General features: G+C 46.6%; 4 annotated features.

The window, feature by feature from the left end:
• Nucleotides 362-461: a silencer, noted in NCBI's record as "silent region_4734". NCBI's record gives its function as "represses an Ori minimal core promoter by ATAC-STARR-seq in GM12878 lymphoblastoid cells {active_cell/tissue: GM12878}" and the evidence as "EXISTENCE:reporter gene assay evidence [ECO:0000049][PMID:35858748]".
• Nucleotides 472-1,081: a silencer, noted in NCBI's record as "silent region_4733". NCBI's record gives its function as "represses an Ori minimal core promoter by ATAC-STARR-seq in GM12878 lymphoblastoid cells {active_cell/tissue: GM12878}" and the evidence as "EXISTENCE:reporter gene assay evidence [ECO:0000049][PMID:35858748]".
• Nucleotides 1,142-1,261: a silencer, noted in NCBI's record as "silent region_4732". NCBI's record gives its function as "represses an Ori minimal core promoter by ATAC-STARR-seq in GM12878 lymphoblastoid cells {active_cell/tissue: GM12878}" and the evidence as "EXISTENCE:reporter gene assay evidence [ECO:0000049][PMID:35858748]".
• Nucleotides 3,376-3,445: an enhancer, noted in NCBI's record as "active region_6803". NCBI's record gives its function as "activates an Ori minimal core promoter by ATAC-STARR-seq in GM12878 lymphoblastoid cells {active_cell/tissue: GM12878}" and the evidence as "EXISTENCE:reporter gene assay evidence [ECO:0000049][PMID:35858748]".

The following is an 8,761-nucleotide window of genomic DNA, read 5'->3' as shown; positions in this document are numbered from 1 at the left end:
CTACAAAAGAATAAAAATACAAAAATTAGCCGGGCGTAGTGGAGCACTCGCCTGTGGTCCCAGCTACTGGGAAGGCTGAGGCGGGAGGATCGCTTGAGCCTGGGAGAATCGCAAGGCTGCAGTGAGCCGAAATCGCGCCCCTGCGCTCAGCCTGGGGGACAGAGCGAGACCCTGTCTGAAAAATTAAAAAGAAAACGAAGAGTAGGAACGGACATTAGCGGGCCACCTTCCCATCCCATGGGGAGAATTTTAAGGTGGTACTTTTAAGGCGGGTGAGAATTGCCATCTGCGCTCTCCGCCAATCCACTCTTGCTCCGCAAACTTGGGGTCCCTGTAGGGTGGGCCCAGCTTTCACCCCAAAGCTTCTCCAGCTCAGTTCTGGGGGCCGCGGGGCAGGCATCGGAGACTCGCTCCGCTCCTGGTGGGGCCAGAACTCGAGGAAGAGGAGAGGGGCGAAGCGGCCCGAGGAGGCGGGGACGCTGCGACGGCGGCAGAAAGGCCCCGGGGCCCCGGAGCTCCGCGAGCTCAGTGCGCCCTTGGCCGGCTCCGCGCCTCCGCCGCAGCCCGGGAGAGCCCCGGGGACCCCGCGGCCAGCGCTACCCCGCCCCGCCCCCGCCGGCTTGGCGGCCGCGGCGCAGGCGTGTGCAGGAGGGGGCAGCGCGGAGCTCCCGGCCGGCCGAGCGTCGCCGCCGGCCCAGCCCTTCTCGCGCCCAAGTCGCCGAGCCCCGCCCGGACGGCCCAGACACCATGCGGAGGGTGAGTGCGCCGTCGCCCCGGGGTGCGGGGGCGGGGGCGTGCGCCGGGGTCCTCCCAGCGGGAATAGTGAGGGTGCGGCGGGGACGGACCTCGGCGGGGAGCGCGGTCGCCCCCGGGGGACTGAGGAGGGGAAGGGGCGCCGCGGGGACCCCGGGCCCGCACTCTTCGGGGCTGCGCTGGCACGTCGGAGCCCTGGGCCCGCGCTTGCGAGGTGGGCTGCGCCCGGCACTCCGCCCCACGCCTGCTGGCGAGCCCCTTCTCCGGCTCCCCTGACGCCCGCCTGGCTGCCAGAATTCTGCCCAAAGCCCCGGTCCTTCTTTGGGAGCCCGGGCAGCTCTGCTGGGCGTCGGTGGGGCTCCCTTGGCGCACACCCCAGAGACGGAGCCAGCCCCAGGTCCGGGCCAGGTGGGCGACAGGTCGAGGCCGGGGCTGGGGTTGGGGAGAGGAAGGATGCCTGCACTCCGGCATTTGGAAGGCGCGAGCCTCCTCCAGGCACGGCCCGCCGACGGCGCGCAGCTCCTGGCCTGGGGCGCCCTCGGGGGCTGCGGCTGCTGCTTTACCGGCAGGTGCCAGGGAGCCCGCGCTCACCCCCACCCTCCAGCCAAGGCTGCCTGTGGAAAAACGAAAAATAAACAGGCTCAGCTGCAGTGGCTCTTCCACCTCCAGGGACAGCTTGGGGGACTGGTGCTGCTTGTTGTTAGCCCCGGAGAGAGCGCAGGCCCTAGTGCAGCTCGTTCTTACTTGTCTGGGGAAGTTAATTGACACGAAGATGCTGGCGACTTTGTAAGTTACCAGACCCGTTTGTATTTTAACTTTGGAAATGGAAGGTGCTTTAATCAAATACAGGATCTCAGCATTAATATGTGTGGAAAAGCAGTAGAGGAAACTTAAGGAAATCCTATTGGGTACCCTCCACATTGTCCCAGAACTCCTAAGGCCACCCTGAAGACAGTTTACGCGCCAAGGAAGGGGTGGAGGGGTATTTTCTGAAGAGACAAGGCTGAGAAGAAATGGAAGAAAACCAAACCAAAACAAAACAAAACAAAAAAAAAGAAGAAAACAAAAACGGAATAAGACTCTCCCACCAGAGTCCATGCATTTCTCTAGGTTGGAACTTGAGGTTGGCTTGTTGTAAGGTACGTAGGCGCCTATTGCTTTGGTCATCTGAGTGGCCCTTTCAGAGATTTCCGCCTCTCAGCGGCTGGGCTGCTCCCAAGGGAACTCGGGCCCCTTTTGGCTGGTGGTACCAGAATTAAGTGTTCTGTGTGTGTGTGTTGAAGGGGGTGTCTTTGGAGGGAGTATAGAGCAAATGTGAATTGGCCCCAGCTGCCCCTGGAAAGTCTCTCAATGAGCTGACACGGAAATTTACCTGGCTTATACTTTTGGAGCTAGTCCAGACCTGCTCAGGTGTTTCTGGGGAGAACAGGATTCCAGCCAGGCTGGCCAGCTAGTTTGGCATGCAGCAGAAATGGAAACTGGCCGTGGTGAGGTTACTTGTTTGAACTCCAAATTCAGGGGTCAGCAACCTCCTTTTACTCTCAGTGCCTCAGGGTAATTAAAGAAAAGAGCCTGGATGGGATCCGTAGAAATGCGTGTTAGAGGGAGAATCACGATTTGGAGATGGAGGGCATTGACCAGAGTATCTTAACATGTGATCTGCCTACTACCTGCCTTAGGATGAAAGAGGTGGATGCTTGCTGCAAATGCAGATTCCTAGGCTTTGTTTCAAACCTAATGAGTTAGAATCTCTGAAACTGGAGCTTGGCAATCTGCATTTTAAATACTCAGCCCCCACCTCCATAAGACGTGTATTAAGCACCTACTATGTGCAGGCGCTGTTCTGAGCTCTAGGAATACTGTGAGGAACATGACATACAAAAGCCTTGTTCTCTTGGAGGCCGCATTCAAACTGAGAAATCAGATAATAAAGTAGTAAACAAAGGTACAAATAATGTAGTTTCAGATAGTGATGAGTGCTATGAGGAAAATAGAGCAGGATTTGTGCCCAGGTTTGCTGGACTCCAAAGCCCTGGCTCTTGACATTACACTCTGTTGCCTACAAACTTTTTGTTTCTGCCCCAGACCCTGTCTGGTTCTGGAGAAGCATATAATTTGGCAGTTTGGCAGATGCATGTGGCAGCCCTTCAACTGTGGCAGATCAGTAACTGCAGAGAGAGAGTGTGCAGACACACTATTATAATCAAAAGTAATTACTTTCCTTTGGTGTCCTTGAATGAAAGAGAAGGTGTGTAGGGAATGTACAGAGTAGGAGCACAGAAGATGCCCAGTATTTGGGTTGCTCTGAAGAGAGAAGCTGTGGTCTGAATGTTTGTTGTCCCCGCAGTTCATATGTTGAAATCCTAACCCTCAAGGTGATGGTATTAAGAGGTGGGTCTTTGGGAGGTGATCAGGTTACAAGGGCAGAACCTTATAAAGGAGGCCTCAGAGAGCTTCCTTGTCCCTTCCATGATGTGAGAAGACACTATCTCTGAACCAGAACTTGGGCCCTCACCAGACGCTGAATCTGCTGGGGCTGTGATCTTGGACTTTCCAGCCTCCTGAACTGTGAGAAATGCATTTTTGTTGTTTATAAGTCACCCAGTCTATGGGATTTGATTGTAGCAGCCCAAATGGACTCTGACAAACGGCTAATGTTGTGCATACCATGCTGTCCAGGGCTTTGAACACCAGAGAACCCCATGGTTGGGTCTTCTTTCACGTCTTCACATGGCTCCTTCCTATTTCCTTCATTATTTTTGAATCCAAAATGAACTCTTTCCATGCAAGCCAGGAGTTACAGAGGATTGGTTGCTTTAAAAAATTATTTGTGTTAGAAAAAGTTAGAAAGCAGTTGTGGGAGAATAATTATAATGGTAGCTACTTTTTTTTTTTTTTTTTTTTTTTTTGAGGCAGAGTTTTGCTCTGTCACCCAGGTGGCAGGACGGTGGCACCATCACGGCTCACTGCAGCCTCTACTTCCTGGGCTTAAGCGATCCTCCTGCCTCATTTTTTAATTTCCTGTAGAGACGAGATCTCACTATGTTGTCCAGGCTGGTAGCTACTATTTATTGATTATTTTCTTTGTGCCACGCATCTACTGGCTTCCTTCATTTTCATAACAACCTTTTAAGTTAAAAATTAATAGGTGATACATTTACATAGTATAAAATTTAAAAGCTATCAAAAGCTTACAATGAAAATAAGCCTTCCTATTCTGTTGCCCAGACAGCTAGTTCCCTTTCCTAGAAGCAATTGCTGTTAACTCATCTCTTCTGTCCCTCTAGAAATAATCTATGCATATATAAGCAGTTATATATTCATGCTTTTCATTTTTAAAAGCACAAATGGTAGCATATAAGTATACTCTTCTTCACCACGCATTTTTCTCTCATACAAGATTGGTATTTATAGATTTATGAAGTTCTCTTTATATATATATATATATATATATATATATTTTTTTTTTTTTTTGAGACAGAGTCTTGCTCTGTTTCCCAGGCTGAAGTGCAGTGGCGCAATCCTACCTCACTGCAGCCCCAACTTTCTGTGCTCAAGTGATCCTTCCACCTCTGCCTGTGGAGTAGCTGGTACTACAGGCACGTGCCATCACACCCGGCTAATTTTTTTTATTCGTAGAGATAGGGGTCTCACTCTGTTGCCCAGATTGGTCTTGAACTCTCCTTAGCTCAAGGAATCCTCCCATATCGGCCTCTCCAAGTGCTAGGATTACAGGTGTGGTGCCACTGCGCCCAGCCCCAAGTTCTCTTTATAGCTGTAAATGTGAATATGCAGGCATAACTCGAAGATGTTGCAGGTTTGATTCCAGACCATCCCAATAAAGTGAATATCTAAATAAAGTGAATCAAACAATTTTTTAGTTTCATAGTGCATATAAAAGTTATGTTCATACTACACTGTAGTCTATTAGTATGCAATTGCATTGTTTAAAAAAGCACACTGTATATATTTTATTTTATTTTATTTTGAGGTGGATTTTCGCTCTTATTGCCCAGGCTGGAGTGCAATGGCGCGATCTCGGCTCACTGCAATCTCCGCCTCCTGGGTTCAAGCAATTCTCCTGCCTCACCCTCCTGAGTAGCTAGGATTACAGGCATGCACCACCACACCTGGCTAATTTTGTATTTTCAGTAGAGATGGGGTTTCTCCACCTCGGTCAGGCTGGTCTCGAACTCCTAACCTCAGGCGATCCGCCCGCCTCGGCCTCCCAAAGTGCTGGGATTACAGGCGTGAGCCACCGCGCCTTGCGGCACACTGTATATATTTTAAATAAAAATACTTTATTGCTAAAAAATGCCAGCAATTGTCTGAGCTTTCAGTGAGTCATAATCTTTTTGCTGGTGGAGGGTCTTGCCTCAGTGTTGAAGGCTACTTACTGACTAGAGCGGGGTGGTTGCTGAAGGTTGGGGTGGCTGTGGCAATTTCTTAAAACAACAATGAAGTTTGCTGCAGTGATTGACTCTTCCTTTCATGAAAGATTTCTCTGTAGCATGTGATGTTGTTTGATAGCATTTTCCCTATAGTAGAACTTCTTTCAAAATTGGAGTCAATCCTCTCAAATCCTGCCTGTTATCAACTAAAGTTATGTAAAATTCTGATTCTTTGTTGTTATTTCAACAATGTCACAGCATCTTCACCAGGAGTAGTTTCATCTCAAGAACCACTTCTTTGCTCATTCATAAGAAACCTCATCCATTCAAATTTTATGAGATCGCAGCAATTCAGTCGCACCTTCAGGCTCCACTTCTAATTCTGGTTCTCTTGCTGTTTCCAGTGCAGTTCCTTCCTCCACTGAAGTCTTGAACCTCTCAAAGTCATTCATAAGAGTTGGACTCATCTTCCAGACTCCTGTTAATGTTGATATTGTAAATGTTCATATTAAGAATGTTGTTAATGGCATGTAAAAATGGTGAATCCATTCCAGAAGGTTTTCAATTTATTTTGCCATCGGGGGCTCACTATGGCAGCTATAACATTACAAAATGTATTCTTAAGTAATAAGACTTGAAAGTTGAAATTGCTTCTTGACCTGTGGCCTGAAGAATGGATGTTGTATTAGCAGGCACAAAAACAACATCAATCTCCTTGGATTTTCAGAATGGTAAAGGAGCATTGGCTTCAACTTAATGTCACCAGCTACATTAGTCCCTAACAGGAGAGTCAGCCTGTCTTTTGAAGCCATGAAGCCAGGCACTGACTTCTCATTATTCATGTGTTCACTGGAGTAGCACTTTTAATTTCCTTCAAGAACTTTTCCTTTGCGTTTACTACCTGGCTGACCATTCACTGCAACAGGCCTGGCTTTTGGCCTATCTCAGCTTTCAATATGCCTTCCTCACTAAGTTTAATCATTGCTAGCTTTTGATTTAAAGTGAGAGGTGGACAACTCTTCCATTTACTTTAATACTTAGAGGCCATCGTAAGGTTATTAATTGGCCTAATTTCCATATTGTTGTGTCTCCGAATAGAGAGGCCCAAGGAAAGAGAGAGAGAAGAAGTGTTGGTGGATAGAGCTGTCAGGATATGCACAACATTTATATAGTTAAGTTTACCATTGCATGTGAGTATGGTTCATGGTGCCCCGAAACAATTACAATAGTATCATTAAAGACCAGTGGTCACAAATCACCATAACAGATATAGTAATAATAAAAAAGTTTGAAATATTGGGAGAATTACCAAAATTGTCCCAAAGACATGAAATGAGCATATACTGTTGGAAAATGGTGCAGATAGACTTGCTGGACACAGGGTTGCCACAAGCCTTCAATTAGTAAAAGAGACAATATCTGTGAAGTTCAATAAAGGGAAGTACACTAAAAAGAGGTATGCCTGCACTAGAATTTTTTTTCTGGTATTTTGCTATTATCAACAATGATGCAGTGAATAATCTTATATATTCATGATTTTGCATATGTGCAAGCGTATTTGTATGATAAATAGCAGTGGAATTTCTGGGTCAAGTGATGTGAATACTTGTATTTTTAGTAGGTAAAGCAACATAGTGTAGGAGTTAGGAGCACAGACCTGTAGACAGATTGCTTGGAGTTGAGTCTTGGCTCTGCCATTTATATGTCGTGCAAGTCACTTAACCCCTCTTTGCCTCAGTTGCTTTATTTGCAAAATAGGGATAATAATGGTAGCTACCTAATAGGATTGTTATGAGGATTCTCTCAGTTTATGTTGTACAACAAATCACCCCCAATCATCATGGCTTAAAAAAATAACCGTTTTACTTGGCTCACAAATCTGTGGGTTGGTTGAGTGGCTCTTCTGGTTCTGCTTCTGTGGTCAGCTTGTGGGTCTGCTGGAGGCTGGGCAGTCTAGGATGACCTCACTCACATATCTGGTGCTTGACAGCTGTGTTGGTCATCGGGGACTCATTTGGGACAGCATGCAATCTCTCATGCTCCAGTAGCCTAGCTACTTCACATGGTGGTCTCAGGGTTCCATAGAGTAGCCCAGGAGGGCGGAGCTCAAGCACTTGTCAAGCCTCTGCATGTGTCACATTTGCTGCTGTTCCATTGACCAAAGCAAGAGTCAAGCTCAGAATCTGTGTAAGAGGAGACTCCCCAAGGTCAGGGATGCAGGGATACGGTGAAGGGAATCATTGCCACCATTTTTACAACGTGCCTCAAGAATCAAATACTATTTGTAAAGTGCCTGGTGTAGTGCCTGGCACATTTTAAGCGCTATATAAGTTTGTCAAGTTTGAAAAAAGAGCAGTATTACCAGACTGCATCCATAGAGATTGAACCAGTTTACACATCTACCAGCGTGAGTGCCTGTCTCCCAGTTTCTTGGAAACTGTATCAAAGTGGTTTATCCATGGAGAGGCAGATGTTCTTATCCCCATTTTACAGATGAAAGAAATGATCCTTGGAGAGGTTAAGTCATTTTTCTGGTAATACAGAACCAAACTAGGATTTGAATCCTTTGTCTTTCTGACTCTAGAGCACCTCTGCTAGTCTTGCCACTCTAAACACAGGTGAGATTCCGGTGTCCCTAATGACCCCATCCACTGTTCTCCTGCTTACCCTTTGTACTTCATGTCCATCATTTCTATTTCACATTTGGATCTTGCTGGGTTGAAAAGGATCTGTCAATCTCTTGAATTCTTTAACAGTGGTTTTGATTTCAACTTGGCCTACTGAAATCAAAGCCAAGTGTCTGCAGAGACAGCGGGCTCTTTCATGACTGTGAAGGGATGATAAAGGGAAACCTGTCATTTTACCTCTTATAAATGGAAAAAACAGATGAGTCTGGCCTTCTCTTGTTTATCCATTCTTTCTTTTCATTCCTCACGTCCTTTTGCTTCACTTCACAACCCAGGAATTCCTTTCCCTAAAGGGGAAAGTGTGATCATGGGAGACAGTGTTTCTTGGTGGTTCAGGATGGGATCTCTGGAGACAAACTGTTTGGGTTCAAGTCCAGCACGGCTATTTACTGGCTATGTGGCTTGGACGGGTTAACCTGCACTGAAAGGTTTTCCTGAGGTCTGTGATAATTTGTGGAAAGTGCTCCATTCTCATCATTACACAGCAGATTACTTTTGCTGTCTTCTCTGTTCTGTTTCACATCCCTTCTCCTCCACATGTATTCCTATGCCCCAGCTGTGTTTAATAATAAGGATAGCTAATATTTACTCAGCCCTTACTCTAAGCGCCTTTCATGTAATTAACTCATCTAATCCTCGCAACAAACCTATGCAATAGGTGCTGTTTTATTCCCATTTTCAAGTGAGGAAGCTAGATGCTGAATGCTAAGTAATTTTCCCAACATACCATGGCCAATAAATGATGTAGCAGGGATTTTAAATGAGGCATTCTGGCGCCAGAGTCTGTGCTCTTATATTTATGCAAAAAAAAAAAAAAAAAAAAAAAAAAAAAAAAAAAAAAAAAGATGGGATGGAAGGTTGGGAGTTTAAAATTGAGAGCTTCTGCTCTAGATAAACTGCTGGTAAACTTACACACAGCCTCTGTCCCTG

This window comes from Homo sapiens, chromosome 12 (assembly GCF_000001405.40).
Source record: "Homo sapiens chromosome 12, GRCh38.p14 Primary Assembly".
In the NCBI taxonomy this organism is placed as follows: Eukaryota; Metazoa; Chordata; class Mammalia; order Primates; family Hominidae; genus Homo; species Homo sapiens.
The sequence above is the reverse complement of the archived record's forward strand: the minus strand, read 5'-3'. Positions and strand labels throughout refer to the sequence as shown.